Source organism: Homo sapiens, chromosome 19, assembly GCF_000001405.40.
Source record: "Homo sapiens chromosome 19, GRCh38.p14 Primary Assembly".
In the NCBI taxonomy this organism is placed as follows: domain Eukaryota; kingdom Metazoa; phylum Chordata; class Mammalia; order Primates; family Hominidae; genus Homo; species Homo sapiens.
This window is the reverse complement of record NC_000019.10, coordinates 56,688,174-56,709,609: the sequence shown is the minus strand read 5'-3', so window position 1 is coordinate 56,709,609 and position 21,436 is coordinate 56,688,174. Positions and strand designations below refer to the sequence as shown.

Sequence of the window (21,436 nt, the reverse complement as noted above, 5' to 3'; positions counted from 1 at the left end):
TAAATTAACAAGCAAAAACCAAATAACCCAATGAAAAAATGGACAAAGGACACGAACAGACACTCCTTAAAAGAAGACACACAAGCGTTCAACAAACATGAGAAAACACTCTTTATCATTAATCATCAGAGAAATTCAAATCAAAACCACAATGAGATACCATCTCACACCAGTCAGAATGTCTACTATTAAAAGTCAAAAAACAATAGATGCTGGTGAGGCTGCGGAGAAAAGGGAACACTTACTTATACACTGTTGAGAGGAATACAAATTAGTTCAGTGACTGTAGAAAGCAGTATTGAGATTTCTAAAAGAACTTAAAATGGAGCTACCATTCAACCCAGCAATCCTATTATTGGGTACATACCCAAAAGAAAATGGGTTACTATACCAAAAAGACACATGAACTCATATGTTCATTGTCATGTTATTCACAATAGCAAAGACATAGAATCAGCTTAGGTGCCCATCAATGGTGGATTCAATAAAGAAAATGTGAGCCAGGTGTGGTGGCTCATGCCTGTAATCCCAGCACTTTGGGAGGCCAAGGCGGGTGGATCACCTGAGGTCGGGAGTTCAAGACCAGCCTGACCAACAAGGAGAAACCCCATCTCTACTAAAAATACAAAAATTAGCCAGGTGTGGTGGCGTGTGCCTGTAATCCCAGCTACTCAGGAGGCTGAGGCAAAATTGCTTGAACCTGGGAGGCAGAGGTTGCAGTGAGCCGAGATTGCGCCATTGCACTCCAGCCTGGGCAACAAGAGCAAAACTCCATCGAAAGAGAGAAAGAGAGAGAGAGAGAAAGAGAGAAAGAAAGAAAGAAAGAAAGAGAGAGAGATAAAGAAAGAAAGAAAGAGAAAGAAAGAAAAGAAAGAAAGAAAAGAAAGAAAGAAAGGAAAGAAAGAAAGAAAGAAAGAAAGAAAGAAAGAAAGAAAGAAAGAAAGAAAGAAAGAAAGAAAGAAAAGAAAGAAGGAAAGAAAGAAAGAAAATGTGGTACATAGACATCATAGAATATTATGCAGCCATAAAAAAGAATAAAATCATGTCCTTTGCAGCAACATGGGTGGAGCCAGAAGCCATAATCCTAAGCAAACTAATGCCGGAATAGAAAATCAAATACCGCATGTTCTCACTTATAAGCAAGAGTTAAACACTGAGCACACATGAACATAAACTTGGGAATAATAGACACTGGGGACTCGTAGACAGGGGATGGTGGTGTGGGGTGAAAAACTACCTATTGGGTACTATGCCCAATATCTGGGTGCAGTATTCTCCTGTCACAAACCTGCACTTGCACCCTCTGTATCTGAAACAAAGGTTGACATTTTTAAAAGATTATAACAGCTGAAAATGTTAAATACTAATATATAATATTAGTATTTTTATTCTAGGAGTGACTTTGCCCCCAAGAGACAGTTGGCGAGGTCTGGACACAAGTAGAGGAGAATTACTGACATCCTCTGGGTAGAAGCGAGAGTGCTGCTCCACACACAACAATGTACAATGCACAAAGCAGCCCTCCCCCCAAAACACAAATAACTATCTAGACCATATTTCACACACAACAATGCACAATGCACAAAGCAGCCCTCCCCGCAACACAAATAACTATCTAGACCATATTTCACACACAACAGTGCACAATGCACAAAGCAGCCCTCCCTGCAACACCAATAACTATCTAGACCATATTTCACACACAACAATGTACAATGCACAAAGCAGCCCTCCCTGCAACACAAATAACTATCTAGACCATATTCCACACACAACAATGTACAATGCAGAATGCAGCCTTCCCTGCAACACAAATAACTATCTAAATCATATTTTCAATAATGTCAGGGTAGATAATCCCTAATGGAGATGATTCTCCTGACACTCCTGACTAGCTATATAGGGACCCTCTCTCCTCCATGGCTATTGTCCAAATGCCCATAGCCATCCACTCCCATTAGCCTAAAATCACTCCAAGCCTTCAGTTCTAGCATCCCATCTCCAACATCACGTCCTACTTTCCAAGTGACTCCTCTTTCTCACCTAAGGACTACATCCCGTTATTCTTTGGAGACCAACACTGTCTTTATTTAACCATTTTTCACTGACCTTCACACCCATCTGGTCACCTTCCATGGTCAATTGTTAGGATAAATTCCTCTGGACACACTCGAATCTCTTGCATATTCTGCTGCATGTACCTCCTTGGAAAACCTCAACTCTGCTGTTCTCTGGCTCTGCCTGTTCCACTCCTCACTCTTGCAGATGCATGTGGTTGGGGAGAAACAGCTCCTTCTCCACTGCCTGTTCTCTCTGTAATTTCATGATGATGCCTCTCCAAGGATGCTGAGCAGTGCCTGGAAAATTACCTCCTTCATTCTCTCCCTTCAAATGAATTCCTACTGCATAACTGCATTTCTATCCTGTATCCTCCAACTCTCTTACCCCATTATCATTTTATTCTTATTTCCCAAGTAAGAGTAGAAGCAGGAAGATAATACTTTTAATAATGATACACAGGAAAGTGAGAAGTGGTTGTTATTGTTGTCCTTTGGACTTATCTAACCTCCAGTAAGAAACCTAGGACCAATAAAAACTCACAACTTTAGGTCCATCTTTTTTATCATACTCTAAGGAATTTATATTCCAATGGAGAGAAAGCAGTAAACAGAAAGTGAATAAAGAAAGCACCAACCTCAAGAAGGGAACAAAGCAGGTGCTCGGGGGACAGCAGTCAGAGAGGGCTCCCTTGGGTGGTGAACTCTGTTCAGAGCACTGGTTGGAGACAAGATGGAGCCACATGAAGACTCAGGGTGTGGAGGGAGCTGCACCTGCAAAGGTCCTGAACTTTATTCAATACAGGGAAGGTGAAACGCCAAGGTGGCTGGAGCCAGACTGTCTGCCTTTCTCTGTTTCTCTCCTAGAATCTCCTTCTGTGTGAATGGACTCTGCCTCTCTTTGATGTTCTCCCCCTCCTTCTTCCAATCTTTTCTGCCTTTCTCCCATATTTTCCCCTTACTTCTTTTTTTTTCTGATTCATCCTTCAATATGCTCTGATTTTGCCAGGATCTCCAGAAATCCCATTTATTTAGCAATCAATACATTTTATGTTCAGGCACTGCTCTAAACCATTGGGGAAACAAAATATAAACAGCAATTGTCAGCTTTGCACCTTCAGAAAACCCACAGACTGTGAGGAATGTGGAACGCTATGACCACATATGCACTAGTTCTGTTTTCTCTGTTACCAGCATTGTCCCTAACATGTGTCATATGCTAAGAGATGATTGAGTGATAAAATAAATATATAACCAGTCCTTATGTGGGGCAGTGGGCAGGGCATGACCCAGTTGGGGTCTCCTTTTTCACTTATAATACACAAAGCTTGGCTGCCATTTATTCTATTAATATACTTTGAGGTCAGCCTTGCCTACATTAGGTAGCATCAGGTCTCTTCACAGACCTGACATGCACTTCAGCACCATGGACAGGCCTTAGTCCACGGTGGTGATTTTTTAATTGATACATAATTTTTGCAATATTTATGGGATACATGTGATAAATTAATACATGCACACAATGAATAATGAGCAAGTCAGGGTAACTAGGATGTTCATCACCTCAAACATTTTTCATTTATTTGTGTGGGAATATTCCAAACCTTCTCTTCTAGCTGTTTGAAATACCCTATATAATCTTGATAACTTTTGTTACCCTACTGTGTTATTGAACACTAGATCTTATTCATTTTATCTCATTGTATTTTTGAGCCCATTATCCGAACTCTCTTCATCCCTCCCTCCCCCTATCCTTCCCAGCCTCTGGTAACCAGCATTCTATTCACTACCTCCATGAGATCAATTTTATTTCCCCCACATATGAGTCAGAATATGTCATATTTGTCTTTCTGTGCCTGGTTTATTTCACTTAACATAACGTCCTCCAGTTCTATTTATTTTGCCACATAGAACAGGATTTCATTCTTTTTTATGGCTGAGTAATATTCCATTATATATATATATGTATACATACATATACATATATATATATTTACCACATTTCCTTTCACACTCATTCATTGGTGGACACATAGGTTGATTCCATAACTTGGCTTTTTCTCAATTGTGCTGCAATACACATGACAGTGCAGGTATCTCTTTTGTAGATTTCTCTTAATTTTGCTATTTTTTCCTCTACTGTGTATAAGCTTTTTAGCTTGATGTAGTCCCATTTTTGCTTTAGTTGCCTGTCCTTTGGAGGTCAACTCAAAATGTATTTGCCCAGACCAATGTCCTGAAGCACTTCCCAAATGCTTTCTTCTAGCAGTTGCATAGTTTCACATCTATCTCTTTAATCTATTTTGATCAATTTTTTATGTGGTCAGAGATAGGGGTCTAGTTTCTTTCTGCATAAGAATATCCAGTTTTCCCAGCATTATTTATGTAACAGACCACCTTTTTCTGGTGTATGTTCTTGGTGCCTTTATTGAAAATGGGTTGGTTGAAAATGCATGGATTTATTTCTTTATTCTCTGTTTAATTGATATATTTACATGTTTTTTGTTTTATTTTGTTTTTTCTGATTTTTTTTTTTTTTTTTTTGAGATGGAGTTTCACTCTTGTCACCCAGACTGGAGTGCAACGGTGTGATCTCAGCTCACTGCAACCTCCGCCTCCAGGGTTCAAGTGATTCTCCTCCCTCAGCCTCCTGAGTAGCTGGGATTACAGACATCTGCCACCACACCCAGCTAAGTTTTTTCATATTTTTAGTAGAGATGGGGTTTCACCATGTTGGCCAGGCTGGTCTCGAACTCCTGACCTCAGGTGATTCACCAGCCTTGGCCTCCCAAAGTGCTGGGATTACAGGTGTGAATGACCGCGCCCAGCCTATGTACCTGTTTTTTAATGCCAGTACCATGTTGTTTTTGTTACTATAGCTTTGCAGCATATTTTGAAGTCTGGTAGTGTAATGTCTCCAGCTTTGTTCTCTTTGCTCAGTATTCAGGGTCTTTTATGGTTCCATACAAATTTTAGGATTTTTTTTCTATTTTTGTGGAAAATGTCACTGGTGTTTTGATAGGGATTGCATTGAATCTGTAGATTGCTGCAGTAGTATGAAAATTTTAACAATATTAATTCTTTCAACCCATCACAATGGGATATCTTTCCATTTTTCTGTGACTTCTTTAATATTTTTCATCACCGTTTTATAGTTTTCATTGTAGAGATCTTTCGCTTCTTTATTTAAATTTATTTCTAGGTAATTTTTTGTAGCTATTGCAAATGGGATTGCTTTCTTGATTTCCTTTTCAGATTGTTTACTGATGGCATATAAAAATCTACTATCTATTACATTTTGATTTTGTATCATACAACTTTCTTGAATTCATTCGTCAGTTTTAACAGTCTTCTTTGGTGGGATATTTAGGTTTTCTAAATATAAGATTATGTTATCTGCAAACAAGGACAATTTGGCTTCTTTCTTTCCAGTTTGGATGCCCTTTACTTTTTTCTCTTGTCTAACTGCTTTGGCTAGGATTTCTAGAACTGTGCTGAATAAAAGTGGTGAAATTGGGCCTCATTCCTTTATACTAGATCTTAAAGGAAAGCCTTCTTATTTTTCTCCATTTATTGTGATGTTAGCAGTGGGTTTGTCACACATGGCTTTTACTGTCTGGGGGCACATTCCTTTCATACCCTGTTTAACAGTTTTTTTCATGAAGGGATATTGAGTTGTATTAAATGCTTTTTCAGCATCTATTAAAACAATGATATGGTTTTTGTCTGTGATTTTGCTAATGTGTTCACTTATTTGCATATGTTAAACCTCTTTGGCATCCCTGGGATGAATTCTACTTGATCATGATGAATGATCTTTTTACGTGTTGAATTCAGTTTCCTACCATTTTCTTGAGGATTTTTGCTTCTATGTTCATCAGGAATATTGGCTCATAGTTTTCCTTTTTTGTTGTATCTTTTTCTGACATTAGTATCAGGATAATTCTGTGCTCATAGAATGAGTTTGAAAGTATTCTCTTCCCTTCAATATTTTGGAAGAGTTTGAGTAGATTTGGCGTTAGTTCTCATCCAAATGTTTGCTAGAATTTAGCAGTAAAACCATCATGTCCTGGGCTCTTATTTCATGGAACACTTTTTTTTAACTGTTTCTATATAGTCATTTGTTATTGGTCTATTAAAGTGGTTTATTTCTTCATGTTTCAATCTCGGTAGGTTTAATGTGCCCAATAATTTATTCATTTTTTTCAAGATTATTTATGACAAACCCACAGCCAATATCATACTGAATGGGCAAAAACTGGAAGCATTCCCTTTGAAAACTGGCACAAGACAGGGATGCCCTCTCTCACCACTCCTATTCAACATAGTGTTGGAAGTTCTGGCCAGGGCAATCAGGCAAGAGAAAGAAATAAAGGGTATTCAATTAGGAAAAGAGGAAGTCAAATTGTCCCTGTTTGCAGATGACATGACTGTATATCTAGAAAACCCCACCGTCTCAGCCCAAAATCTCCTTAAGCTGATAAGCAACTTCAGCAAAGTCTCAGGATACAAAATCAATGTGCAAAAATCACAAGCATTCTTATACACCAACAACAGACAAACAGAGAACCAAATCATGAGTGAACTCCCATTCACAACTGCTTCAAAGAGAATGAAATACCTAGGAATCCAACTTACAAGGGATGTGAAGGACCTCTTCAAGGAGAACTACAAACCACTGCTCAACGAAATAAAAGAGGACACAAACAAATGGAAGAACATTCCATGCTCATGGATAGGAAGAATCAAGATTTTCCAATTTATTAGAAAATAGTTGTTCAAAATAGCCACTAATAATCCTTCATATTTCTTTGGTAGCAGTTTAATGTCTCCTTTTTGTCTCGGATTTATTTATTTGGATCTTTTCCCTTCTTTTTCTCATAGTCTGCTAAAGATTTCTCAGTTTTGTTTATCTTTTCCAAAAATGAACTTTTTGTCTGATTGATCTTTGGTAATTGTTTTTGGCTTCAATTTTATTTATTTCTGCCCTGCTCCTTATTTCTTTTCTTTACTAATTTTAGGTTTGATTTGTTCTTGCATTTCTAGGTTTTCTAGGTGGATGATTAATGTATTTATTTGAAAGTCTCTCTACTTCTCTAAGTATGAGTTTTTTGCTATAAGCCTCTCTCTTAGTACTGCTTTTGCTCTATCCTATAGGTTTAGGTGTATTGTGTTTCCTTCTAAAATCAAGGAGTAACCAGGGAAATATTTACCTGCTTTTTGAGTACAAACTGCCAGTGATACAGCTTTAAAAATGCAGCCCAAATTCTCAGAGTTCATGGCCTGGAGGGGAAAACAGGTAAACTATCTGTTATTTCACCATGAGAGATGGGGAAGAAAAAAACTAGCACATCTTTTATGACAATATTGAGGAGGAAATTGCTTTAACAATTGTGGATACTGTGGTTGGGGAAAAACTCACAAAGAAAGTGACTCTTCTTTCTAACACTTTTTTTGCTGTATCATCACAATAGAATTGTATTCCATATTTACACTAGAAATGCAAAAAAAACAAGCTATTATTTATTGATTGTTTACAATGTATTGTGAGGATCAGAACGGACAGGTAGCTTCTTCATGATCACCCACATAATGAATGTTGGGGCTGGGGTTTGTAAACTGGAAGATAAAAAATAAAATGTAAAATTAATTGATAAAGCAGCAGCATGTTTTGACAGGATGGATTTCAATTTTAAAAGAAGTTCTGTGTGTAAAATGCTACCAAACAGCATCACATGCTACAGAGAAATATTTTAAGAAATATTTTAAGAAATTGCCACGGCCACCTCAACCTTGAACAACCACCACCGTGATCAGTCTGCAGCCATCAACATTGAGGCAAGACCCTCCACCAGAAAAATGGTTATGACTCATTGAAGGGTCAGGTGATTCTTATAATTTTTTAGCAATAATATATTTTACATTAAGGTGGGGATATTGTGAACTGGAGAATATAATCTAAATTCTAAATTATTTGTTGTCATTTCTACAATGTTCACAGCATCTTCTCAAGGAGTAGGTTCCATCTCAAGAAACCACTTACTTTGCTTGTTCAAAAGAAGCAATTCCTGTAATCCCAGCACTTTGGGAGGCTGAGGCGGGTGGATCACAAGGTCAGGAGATTCAGACCATCCTGGCTAACACAGTGAAACCCTGTTTCTACTAAAAATACAAAAAAAAAAAAAAATAGCCAGGCATAGTGACACGTGCCTGTAGTCCCAGCTACTCGGAAGGCTGAGGCAGGAGAATCGCTTGAACCCAGGAGGTGGAGGTTGCAGTGAGGCAAGATTGTGCCACTGCACTCCAGCCTGGGCGACAGAGTGAGAGCGAGACTCTGTCTCTCAAAAAAAAAAAAAAGCAACTCCTCAACTCATCTGCTAAAACTTTCTTATGAGATTACAGAATCCAGTCAGATCTTTAGGCTCTAATTCTAATTCCAGTTTTCTTGCTCTTTCTACCACATCTGCAGTGACTTCCTCCGTTGAACTCTTGAACCCCACAAAGTCATCAAATAGGAGTTGGAATCAACTTCTTTCAAACTCCTATTGATGTTGATATTTTGACTTTGTTCCATTTATAGAGCACAGGTAGAGTAGGTTTTGCACAATCCTGAAGAGTCCTAGAATTTTTAGCCCACGCATGGTGGCTCACGCCTGTGATCCCAGCACTTTGGGAGGCCAAAACCAGCAAAATCACTTGCGGTCAGGAGTTTGAGACCAGCCCGGCCAACAAGGCAAAACCCTGTCTCTACTAAAAATACAAAACTTATCCGGGCATGGTGGTGCAACCTGTAATCCCAGCTACTCAGGAGGCTGAGGCAGGAAAATCACTTGAAGTCGGGAGGTGGAGGTTGCAGTGAGGCAAGACTGTGCCACTGCACTCCAGCCTGGGCAACAGAGCAAGACTCTGCCTCACAAAATAAATAAATAAATAAATAAAGAGTCCTAGGACTTTTGGAATAGTAAAAAAAGCATTGGATCTAACTGAACATTACCAGCTGCATTCGTTCCTAAGAAGAGAGTCGGCCTGTCCTTTGAAGCTTTGAAGCCAGGCACTGACTTCTCTCTAGCACATACTTTAGGAAAATGGCACTCTCAGACTTGCCAATGCAGACTTGCACAAACCTTCCATTCAAAAATACTCAGTATCTGTGAAGCGCAGTGAAACAAAGCACAACAGAAAAATGTACGCTTGCATTTTCCAAACAAACTTCGCAATAAAGGTGGTGTTGCTTTTCATTTCTGCAAATATCTTTAATGTTTTCCTTACCACTAGATGGCTATGATCAAATTGTCCACTTAAATCAAACATGTGCAATATTATGTCATCCAGAGAAAATGAGGGAAAATGCAAATAAACTTTTCATGTGTTTAGGACAATTATTTGGAATTGTGCATTCCAAATCTTGAATCCCCCCGGAGTCCTGGAACTACATTTTTGGGAAAAAGTGATCTAAGAGATATACAAATGATATACAGGAGATTATAAGTGGAGATCATTTGAGTAAACAAGAGGTTGTCCATGAAAGAAACTGTGGAACATCCAATCACTTTCCTTAGTCTCCACAGCTCCCTTGGCTGAGGAGGAACTTCTTCCCCGCCGTCCCCCACAACTGTCCAGGAATATGAGGTACTTAGGTACCTGATTATTGGTACATGAGGTACTTAGAAGAGTCAAATTCATAGCAATGGAAAATAAAATGGTGGTTGTCGGGGCTGGAAAAAAGGAAATGAAGAGTTATTGCTGTTTCCATGGTGACTCATCTCCAAGGATACTGAGGGTTGCTCGGCAACCAGGTCACCTTCTCCATTCTCTCCCTGATCTGATGAACATGCATTGCATTCCCGCTATTATAACCTTATAGCCACATCTGTCTAAAGAGGTAACCCTACAGTTTAGTTTTAAGGGAAGTATGGTGATATTTCATATCTTCTGTCACCACATTAAGTCATTAAGTATAAGCTGCAGGGATTCATGTTTTCTACATTGGTTCTCTCATTTTTTTATTTTTATTTTTTGCAGTCATCATATCTTTGTGATGCTGGGTTATCAGTGGTATCTATGAAAAAAACAATAACCACATGAAAATCAATGAGGATGAGGACATCAGGGTGACACAGTCTAGTCTGATTCCTACATTTGAGAAGTTGTGCAGGAACCAACAAATACATCCCATTATTAAGTAATTACTATTGAAAAGTGAAAGAAATATTTTTTTCTTTGGCAAAGAGATAATGAACCACTTCATTCCCATGTTCATGGCCACTATCCATAAGACAGAAGATAACAACCACCCACAGGGCTTGGAGAAGTTGGCACATCTGCACTCTCGGTGCAATTGTGATGAGATGCAGATTCTGTGAAAAAAAAAATTACAACAGTTCTGAAAAGAATAAAAATAAAATTATCTTTCTACCTCTGGATATTACCCAGAAGTAATGGAAGCAGAAAATTAAAGAGATATTTGTACACCCATGGGCATAGCAGCATTAGTCATGAGAGTCAAAAGTGGAAGCATCCCAGCACTTTGGGAGGCCAAGGCGGGCGGATCATGAGGTCAGGAGTTCGAGACCATCCTGGCTAACACGGTGAAACCCCGTCTCTACTAAAAATACAAAAAAATTAGCCGGGCATGGTGGCGGGTGCCTGTAGTCCCAGCTACTTGGGAGGCTGAGGCAGGAGAATGGCATGAACCTGGGAGGCAGGCTTGCAGTGAGCCGAGATGGCACCACAGCACTCCAGCCTGGGCGACAGAGCGAGACTCCATCTCAAAAAAAAAAAAAAAAAAAAAAAAAAAAGTGGAAGCAACCCAAGTTGCTCGTTAACCAAGTTTTGGTTAAAAAGTCAAAAAAAATAACATATCAGCAAGGCTGTAGAGAAAGGGGGACGCTTACATACTCTGGTGGAAATGCAAATTAGTGTAAATTAGTCCAGCCACTGTGGAGAGCAGTTTGGAGATTTCTCAAAGAACTAAGCGTTGAGCTGCTATTCAACCCAGCAATCCTATTGCTGGGTATATGCCCAAAGGAAAATGAATCATTCTGCTAAACAGTCACATGAACCTGTATGCTCATTACCATTCTATTCACAACAACAAAGACATGGAATGAACCTATGTACCCATCAACAGTGGATTGGATAAAGAAAGTGTTGCACACATACACTGTGGAATACTATGCAGCCATAAAAGGAATAAAACCAGCCAGGCACGGTGGCTCATGCCTGTAATCCCAGCACTTTGGGAGGCCAAGGTGGGCAGATCACATGGGGTCAGGGGTTCAAGACCAGCCTGATCAACATGAAGAAGCCCCATCTCTTACTAAAAATACAAAATTAGCCTGGCATGGTGGCATGCGCCTGTAATCGCAGCTACTTGGGAGGCTGAGGCAGGAGAATCACTTGAACCCGGGAGGTGGAGGTTGCAGTGAGCCAAGATCATGCCATTGCACTGCAGCCTGGGCAACAAGAGCGAAACTCCACCTCAAAAAAAAAAAAAAGGAATGAAACCATGTCTTTTGCAGCAACATGGATGCAGCTGGAGACCATTTTCTTAAGCAAATTACCTCAAAACAGAAAACTAAATACCACATGTTCTCACTTATAAGCAGGAGCTAAATATTGGGCGTACGTGGACATAAAGATGGAAACAACAGGTACTGTGGACAGCCAAGGGAGAGAGGAAGAAGGACACAGGTTGAAAAACTACCTATCAGGCACCATGCCTACTACCTGAGTGATGGCTTCAGTCACATGCTAAACCTCAGCATCAGGCAGCGTGCCTTTGCAACAAACCTGCACATGTATCCCATGATTCCAAAATAAAAATTGAACAAAAGTAAAGGAAATCCTGACAGGTGCTACAATCTGGATGAAGCCTGAAGAATGCTGTCAATTGAAATAAATCCACACCAAAAGGACAAATAATATATGATTCTAGGTATACGAGGTACTTAGAAGAGTCAAATTCATAGAAATAGAAAATAAAATGGTGACTGCCAGGGGCTGGAAAAGGGAAGTGGAGAGTTATTCCTTAATGGGTACAGAGTCGTGGTTTTCCCAGACTAAAGGAGTTCTGAAGATGTATGGGACAGATTAGGATACAACAAGTAAATGTACTTAATTGCTGAACTTTACACTTAAAAATATAGTTATGCTGTAGTTCCAGCTACTCGGGAGGCTGAGGCAGGAGAATCGCTTGAACCCGGGAGGCGGAGGTTGCAGTGAGCCAAGATCACACCACTGCACTCCAGCCTGGGTGACAAGAGCAAGACTCTGTCTCAAAAACAAACAAATAAAAACAAACTATATATATATACACACATATATATGTATATACATATATACACATATATACGTATATACATATATACACATATATACGTATATACATATATACACATATATACGTATATACATATATACACATATATACGTATATACATATATACACATATATACGTATATACATATATACACATATATACGTATATACATATATACATATATGTATACGTATATACATATATGTATACATATATACATATATGTATACACATATATACATATATACATATATACACATATATACATATATACACATATATACATATATACACACATATATACACATATATACACATATATATACACATATATATATATGCTGAGTGCGGTGCCTCACTACTGTAATGCCAGCACTTTGGGTGGCCAAGGCAGGTGGATCACCTGAGGTCAGGAGTTCGAGACCAGCCTGGCCAACATGGCGAAACCCCATCTCTACGAAAAATACAAAAATTAGCCAGGCGTGGTGGCGCGCCTGTAATCCCAGCTACTCGGGAGGCTGAGGCATGAGAATCACTTGAACCCAGGAGGCAGAGGCTGCAGTGAGCCAAGATCGCACCACTGCACTCCAGCCTGGGGGATAGAGCGAGACTCTGTCTCCAAAAAGTATATATATATATATATATATATATATATATATATATATATATATATATATACACACACACACATACAGTTATGAGCCACATACCAACATTTCGGTCAATGACATTATATTATATACAGAACAGTGGTCTCATAAGATTTTAGCAGCAAATTTTTACTGTATCTTTTCTGTGTTTAGACATGTTCAGTTACACAAATGCTTACCATTGTGTTAAAGTCCCCCATGGAATTCAGCACGGTAGCATCTTGAACAGGCTTGTAGCTTAGGAGCAGCAGGCTCTACCACCAAGGTTTGTGTAAGTACACTCTAGGATGTTCACACAATGACAATATCACCTAAAAACACAATCCTCAGAACACATCTCTGCCCTTAGGTGAGTCCTGACTCTAGGTAAAAAGGTGAATATTCAATTGTACTATTTTACCACGGTTTAAGAATATAAAAAAAAATTAAAATAATAAGCTTATTCTATGGGTAACATATTATTAACATATTAGTAACAAAATGCTTAAGATGGCTTATTTGTGTAATATATATTTTGCTACAATTAAAAATTGAAAAGTAAAAATAAAAAAGTTAAATAAAAGCCAATTTTACCATGATGCCAGATTGCCATCTAGCGTAAGCAAAGGCATTTGAAAATTTCCCAGACATTCCTTCAAATGGGAAGAAAGGAGGAAACAAAAAGATATTATTAAGACAGTATTTTTTTGTTTTGTTTTTTGTTTTCTGTTTTTTGTTTTGAGACAGAGTCTCACTCTGTCACCCAGGCTGGAGTGCAGTTTCACGATCTCAGCTCACTGCAACCTCCACCTCCTGGGTTCAAGCGATTCTCCTGCCTCAGTCTCCCAAGTAGTTGGGATTACAGGCGTGTGCCACCACGCCTGTTAATCTTTGTATTTTTAGTAGAGAGGGGGTTTCACCATGTTGGCCAGGCTGGTCTCCAACTCCCAGCCTCAGGTGATCCACCCACCTCGGCCTCCCAAAGTGCTGGGATTACAGGCGTGAGCTACCGTGCCCTGCCAAAATGGGTATTTTTTTGTTTGTGTTTGTTTGTTTGTTTGAGATGGAGTTTCGCTCTTGTTGCCCAGGCTGGAGTGCAATGGCACAATCTTGGCTCACCACAACCTCCGCCTCCTGGGTTCAAGCAATTCTCCTGCCTCAGCCTCCAGAATAGCTGGGATTACAGGCATATACCACCATGCCCGGCTAAGGGTATGTTTTTATAAGTCTGCTTTTCTGTTTAATAAGGTTTTTCCCCAAAATGACAATAACTGCACACATGGGCATGGTAGGCTTCCTGGCTTTGGAGAGATCAATGCTACGCTATGGTAGGAAGCCTGAAGCCCCGGCTTGGACACAGTTTATGGAGAGAATACAGGCTGGAGTTCACATCCAGGTCATCTCCTTGGATCAGAGCCTCAGTGCAGTCTACAATATGCACAGGCATCCCATCATCCCCAGTAGCCCTGGCTGTGAGTAAGGTCCTAGGAGCGTCTGCATTTTACAGTGGAGGACGCTGGGCTCAGAGAGGGGAGGTCTCTAGGCTGTCTGGCCCTGGACCCATGCCTCCATCACTTGCTCCCATCTTGTCTCTGAGCATCTAAGGAGAGGTATTCTGGGCACTTCCCAGAGAAGAGAGTCCAGATCTGAAACTGTTCCTCAACCTCTGGATGGGGCTTTTGAAGTGTGCAGGGTCCTAGTGAAGTAGGTATAAGGCAGGGAGAGTGGAAATAGAACCCAATTTGTATGTCCCTGAAGTATTCTCCAAAACTCCAATAAAGTCACAGACACACACACACACACACACACACACACACACACACTAAGCTAGCCTAGCTTATATGCAGGAGATTGTAATAGTATGAATCACATGTTTTCACGCAAGGCCATGCAGAATAAATGGTCTTCAAACCACTTCTTAAGCATGCACACATCCACACGCAAACACACTGTTATGATCTGAATACTGCCTCCTCTTCCCAAACACAGTACTTCATATTGTGGCTGTATTTGGTGATATGGTTTTTAAAGAGATGATTAAGTTAAATGAGGTCCTTAGGGTGGGCTCTAATCCAATTTCTTCTTATAGAAGCAGCAATATGGACACAAAGAGACATCAGAGATGGACACACACAGGAAAGACTGTTAGAGATGGCAAGAAAGCATTGGTCACAATCTACAGAGGCAGCCTCAAGAGAAACCAGCCCTGCTGACATCTTAATCTCAAAATTCAGCCTCCAGAAAGGTAAGTAGATACATGTCTGTTGTTCAAGCTGCCCGGGATGTGGCGTTTTGTTTTGGCAGCCCTAACAAATTAGTATATACACTTTCACACACGCTCAAGATGCAAACTTTCCTAACCAGTGCACAAACTCCGTGACTAACTCACACACAGGGAGCTTCATCCCTCATGCAAGTACAATCACATGTGGACAGTTCTTAGAGTCACACACAATGACAGACGATAAAACACAACCACCCAAGATGAAGAATCACCAGCATTTCCTGATCAAACATAGACACATTCACACAGAAAGACACAAACACACAATGTGCTGCAGGCTTATTTGAACTCAAATACAAATACAGACACACACACACACACACACACACACACATACACATAGTTATATCCAATCATCCATTCAAGACAAGACATTCTCAACCACACAGAATCATAGAGAAATACAACCACAAACAAGGTAACGCACACTCACAGAGGGACACACAGTTAACACAGTCAAGGACACACAATCACAGAGACATAGGGAGATGGGCTATCAAACCGTCGCTCAGGAAACTTTCACCTCCACATTGACGTAAAAGATGGATCCTTCATAGAAAATATGAAGTAAGGTGATGTCAATCAATCAGAAAACAGCTGTCACTGAAAAGATAATTTGTGGCCCTCAGATCCCAACAGGAGGAGGCTAACACATGGCACTTACTACCCTAATGCTGAGTGATGAGATAAATGCATAATCAGTCTTTATGTGAAGATGTGGGCAGAACACGACCCAATTGGGGTCTTCTTTTCTTGGTTATCAAACAAGGAATCTTGGTTTCAATTTATTTTAGAAATATACTTTGAAGTCGCCATTGCATAAGTCAGTAGGCATCAACTACCTCCCTTACCTGTGTAAGAGTTCATAGATCCAATGGGTCCTTCAACACCATGGACAGGTCATCGTCAATGGTGGGGCTGTGGGATTCTTTTTTTTTTTTGGAGAGGGAGTCTCGCTCCATCGCCCAGGCTGGAATGCAGTGGCGCCATCTCGGCTCCTCCATCTCCCAGGTTCAAGCAACTCTCTTGCCTCAGCCTCCCGAGTAGCTGGGATTACAGGCACCCACCATCATGCCTGTCTATTATTGTATTCTTTGTATTTTTGCAGAGACGTGGTTTCACCATGTTGACCAGGCTGGTCTTGAACTCCTGACCTCAGGTGATCTGTCTGCCTCAGCCTCCCAAAGTGCTGGGATTACAGGCATGAGCCACCACACCCAGCCTTGTCTAACATTTTACAACTCCCTTTAATCCCCTCCAATCATCTTCTGAATTCAAACACCTGGAACATTATATCTTGCAGAAAAAGCTAAGAAGAGAAAAGGCAAATAAAATCTTAATGTTCCTAGGAAAATAGTTTGGAATTGTGTGCCTTTTGAAAGGATCTTGATTCTGCCATGAGGTTTTGAACAATATTTTGAGAACTAGTGGCCTGGGAGATATACAAATAAGAGACCTGAAAATATAAATGGAGATTATCTGAATATACAAATGACAGATTATCCATTTGGAAGACTGTGGGACTTCCATACAGTTTATTAGTCTCTACAGCTGCATTTTGCTGGTTCAGAAGAGTCCCTCCCCCACTGCGTGTTCTCATTCTAATTCCACCATGAGTCATCTCCAAGGACACTGAGCATTGCCTGGCAACCAGATTAGCGCCTCCATTCTCTCCCCCTCCAATGAACACGTACAGCATTCCTTCTGCTCCATCCTCACAGCTGCAAGTGTCTGCAGAGTTACCTCTATGCTTGAAATTTAAGGGAAGAACGGCAATATTCAATATCTCCTGACACCACATGAACTAAAGGCTCCAGGGGTTCACAGTCTCCACCTTAGATCCTTCTACATTTCCTTTGCTGACATCTTTGTGGTGCTGGAGTGTCAGTGGTCACCGTGAAGAACAGCAATAACCAACTGAAATCAACATGGATGAGGAGTGAGGGTGGCGTGGGCCAATCTGGGTCCAAGGTTTGAGAAGCTGTGCAATTCCCAACGGGCTTCTCGGTAGCAACAGATCTTAATCTCATAACCAATGACTTTAAACTTGAATACCCATCACAAACATTCAAGTTCTCAAATATATTAGGTTTTTGTTGTTGTTGTTGTTGTTTGTTTGTTTGTTTGTTGTTTTTGAGACAGAGTCTCGCTCTGTCACCGAGGCTGGAGTGCAGTGGCGCAATCTTGGCTCACGGCAACCTCCACCTCCTGGGTTCATGCGATTCTCCTGCCTCAGCCTCCCCAAGTAGCTGGGATTATAGGCATGCACCACCACGCGCAGCTAATTTTTGTATTTTTAGTAGAAATGGGGTTTCTCCATGTTAGTCAGGCTGATTCTCAAACTCCTGACCTCAGGTGATCCACCCTCCTCGGCCTCCCAAAGTGCTGGGATTACAGGCATGAGCCACCACACCCGGCCTATACTAGGTTTTTATCCAATCACAGTACACCATACAACCCCGCACACAAATCTAGACACAAGTCAATGTTTAGTGTCTCTTCTATTAGACTAATCTGACTAGAGAAATCAATACCAAAAAACATTGTCCAAATCCAAACTTCAGCCTCCACTTTCATATCCGCCCAAAAAGGCCTAATTAAACTCTACTTCTTCTCTTTCCTTATCCTGTCTCTTCTAACTCTATTTTTAGTTATCTAACCTGTTCCCCTGAGTACGCTCAATTGCAAGATAAATGCTCACAAATACAGATCGACCAGCAACCACCACCAATCAGCATCTGTAACTATACAAGGCTGCCTCACCTAAAGAATCTTCACACAATAATCCTACCTCCTCGCCCTCAAAAATTACACAATTTTCCATAATATACCATAATATAAAAATCAGTTGGGCAGGCGTGGTGGCTCACGCCTGTAATCCCAGTACTTTGGGAGGCCGAGGCAGGTGGATAACCTGAAGTCAGGAGTTCGAGACCAGCCTGGCAAACATGGTGAAACCACATCTCCACTAAAAGTACAAAAATTACCCAGGCATGGTGGCGGGCGCCTGTAGTCCCAGCTACTCGGGAGGCTGAGGCAGGAGAATTGCTTGAACCTGGCAGGCAGAGATTGCAGTGAGCTGAGATCATGCCACTGCACTCCAGCCTGGGTGACAGATAACGACTCTGTTTCCAAAAAAAAAAAATCAATTACAACTTCCACCTCATCATATTCCATTATTCATCCAACTGCTGCCAACTCTAACAACAGCCCTAACAATAAAGCACCCCAGAGGTCAAGACCTGACCCCCATCCATGTGTCAGGATACTCTTCAGTAGCCATTGCCACGGTATAACCAAAGACATATACCATGATTAAGTAATAAGTATTAAAAATGAAAGCAATATTTTCCCTGGCAAAGAAATAAGGAACTAACTCATTGCCGTTTCCATGGTCACTATCCGTTAAACAGAATATAACAACACTGACAGGATTTGGAGAGGCTGAAACACCTGCACCGTTGGTGCGATCGTGATGTGATGCAGCTGTGGTGGGAAACCATCCGACTGTTCTGAAAAAACAGAAATAAAATTACCCATGAACCAGCAATTTACCTCTGAATCTTACTCACAAGTTTTGAAAGCAGAGAATCAAAGAGACGTTTGTGCAACCGCGTGCATGGCAGCATTATTCATAATAGTCAAAGTGGAAGCAACTCAAGTCTCCATCGATTGGTGAATGGATAAGCAAGATGGGGTCTATACAGACAATGGCATATTATTCGGGCCTAAAAAGAAAGGAAATTCTGACCCATGCTATGACTTGGATGAACTTTGAGGAACAATGTTCATTGAAATAAGCCCATCACAACCGGACAAAATACTGTATGATTCCAGGTATACAAGGTACTTAGAAGAGTCAGAATTCCTGAATGAAAAATAAAAAGGGTGGTTTCCAGAGGCTGGAAGGAGGAGAAATGGAGAGTTATTGCTTAATAGGCACAGAGTTCTTGTTTTCCAAGAAGAAAGGTGCTCTGAAGAGGAATGGTGCAGATTGTGGCAGAACAAGTGAATGTACTTAATAGTGATGCACACTCAAAATACAGTCATGGCCGGGCGTGGTGGCTCACGCCTGTAATCCCAGCACTTTGGGAGGCCGAGGAGGGTGGATCACAAAGTCAAGAGCTCGAGACCATCCTGGCCAACATGGTGAAACCCCGTCTCTACCAAAATACAAAAAATTAGCCGGGCGTGGTGGTGGGCGCCTGTAGTCCCAGCTACTCGGGAGGCTGAGGCAGAAGAATGGTGAGAACCCAGGAGGCGGAGCTTGCAGTGAGCTGATATGGCACCACTGCACTCCAGCCTGGGTGACAGAGCAAGACTCCATCTCAAAAAAAAAAAAAAAAATACAGTCACGAGGTGCATAGTAACATTTCAGTCAATGATAGGTCTCATATATTATAGCGGTCCCATAAGATCATAGTACCAAATTTGTACTGTACCTTTTCTATGTTTAGATACACAAATACCACTGTGTTCCAGGTACCTACAGTATTTAGTACAGCAACGTGCCACGCAGGTTTGTGTCCTAGGAGCAGCAGACTATACCACAGAGCCTAGGTGTGTAGTAGGCTGCACCGTCTAGGTGTTTGTAAGTTCACTCTAAGATGTTCACACAATGTCAAAATTGCCTAACCACAAAATTCTCAGAATGTATCCCTGTTGTCGATTCATGACTATATTTAAAATGATAAATACCATAGTTTAAAAAAATAAAAAAGGCATATATCACAGGCTTATGATATTAGTAATATATCTTTCACATATTAGTCACAAAATGCTTAAGATGGTAAATTCTGTGTAATATGTATTTTGCCACAATTGAAAATTGAAAAGTAAAAAAAAAAATAATAATTAGAGCCTATTTTTTTCATGGTGCAAAAGTGCCATCTAGTGACAGCAACGTGATTTCATACGCGTTCCTTCAAATTAGCGGACAAAAGTTAAGATTTGGTTTTTGGTTTTTGTTTTGTCCTGTTTCTTCTTTTTACACAGGGTCTCACTCTGTTCAGTGGCACGACCTCAGCTCACTGCAGCCTCGACCTCCCAGGCTCAAGCGATCCTCCCACCTCAGTCCCCGAGTAGTTGGGAATACAGGCTTGTACCACCACGCCGAGCTAATTGTTTTTTGTAGAGAAGGGGTCTCACCATGTTGCCCAGGCTTAAAAACAAGATGATACTCTAAAATATATGCATTTGCACATGTTTGTTTATCTGTTTAAGAAGATTTTTTCCCCAAGTGACAACGGTGCACATGGCCATGGTAGGCTCTGGGACTTTGGATGGACCAATGTCATACTCCAGTGGGAATTCTGGCCCTGGCATGGACACAGCTGTGGAGAGAGCGCAGGCTGGGTTTCACATCCCACGTATCCTTTTGAACAGGAGCCGAAGTGCACAGTACAATATGCACGGCCATCTCCCGCACCCCTGGCTGTGAGTGAGGTCCTAGGAGTGTCTGCATTTTACAGGCAACACTGGGCTCAGAGAGGAGAGGTCTCCAGACTGCCTGGCCCTGAGCCCATGCTTCCATCACCTGCTCCAATCCTGTCTCCAAGCATCCTAGGAAGGGCATCCTGGGCACTTCCCAGATGGATCCTAGGACCTATCTTGCTCTACCTATGGAATTGCGCATTTGGGGTGGGCAGGATTCTAATAAGGTTGATATAAGACAGGAAAGTGGCCTGAGGTTTCAATTTATTTATCCACAAATAGTATCTCCTTCAATCACACACACACACACACACACACACACACACACACACACAATGAAAGGTGTCTGGGTCTTGTGGAACTCATACACACACACACACATGCACATTTAGTGGATGAAAGGTGCCTGGGTCTTGTGGAACTCATACACACACACACATGCACATTTAGTGGATGAAAGGTGCCTGGGTCTTGTGGAACTCATACACACACACACAAACACACACACATACACATTTAGTGGATGAAAGGTGTCTGGGTTTTGTGGGACTCACACACACACACACACACGCACATTTAGTGGATGAAAGGTGCCTGAGTTTTGTGGGACTCACACATACACACACACACACATGCACATTTAGTGGATGAAAGGTGCCTGGGTCTTGTGGGACTCACACACACACACATGCACATGTAGTGGATGAAAGG

General features: G+C 41.0%; 2 long non-coding RNA genes across 3 annotated transcripts in view; one reads left to right on the top strand and one right to left on the bottom strand.

Annotated features, from left to right (window-relative positions):
- LOC105372472 (uncharacterized) overlaps positions 1–20,328 on the top strand; it is a 69,204-nt gene extending 48,876 nt beyond the window's left edge. The window contains exons 2-3 of the long non-coding RNA XR_936108.3: positions 15,098–15,253; positions 20,288–20,328. This is a non-coding gene — a long non-coding RNA (uncharacterized LOC105372472). The remainder of the gene's footprint in view (positions 1–15,097; positions 15,254–20,287) is intronic.
- LOC105372473 (uncharacterized) overlaps positions 1–21,436 on the bottom strand; it is a 38,797-nt gene that overhangs the window by 1,166 nt on the left and 16,195 nt on the right. Inside the window, exons 3-4 of one of the 2 annotated variants that reach the window (XR_001754023.3) lie at positions 7,271–7,340; positions 2,696–2,831 (exon numbers count right to left, since the gene is read on the bottom strand). This is a non-coding gene — a long non-coding RNA (uncharacterized LOC105372473). The remainder of the gene's footprint in view (positions 1–2,695; positions 2,832–7,270; positions 7,341–21,436) is intronic. The other variant, XR_936110.4, reaches the window with a different exon arrangement.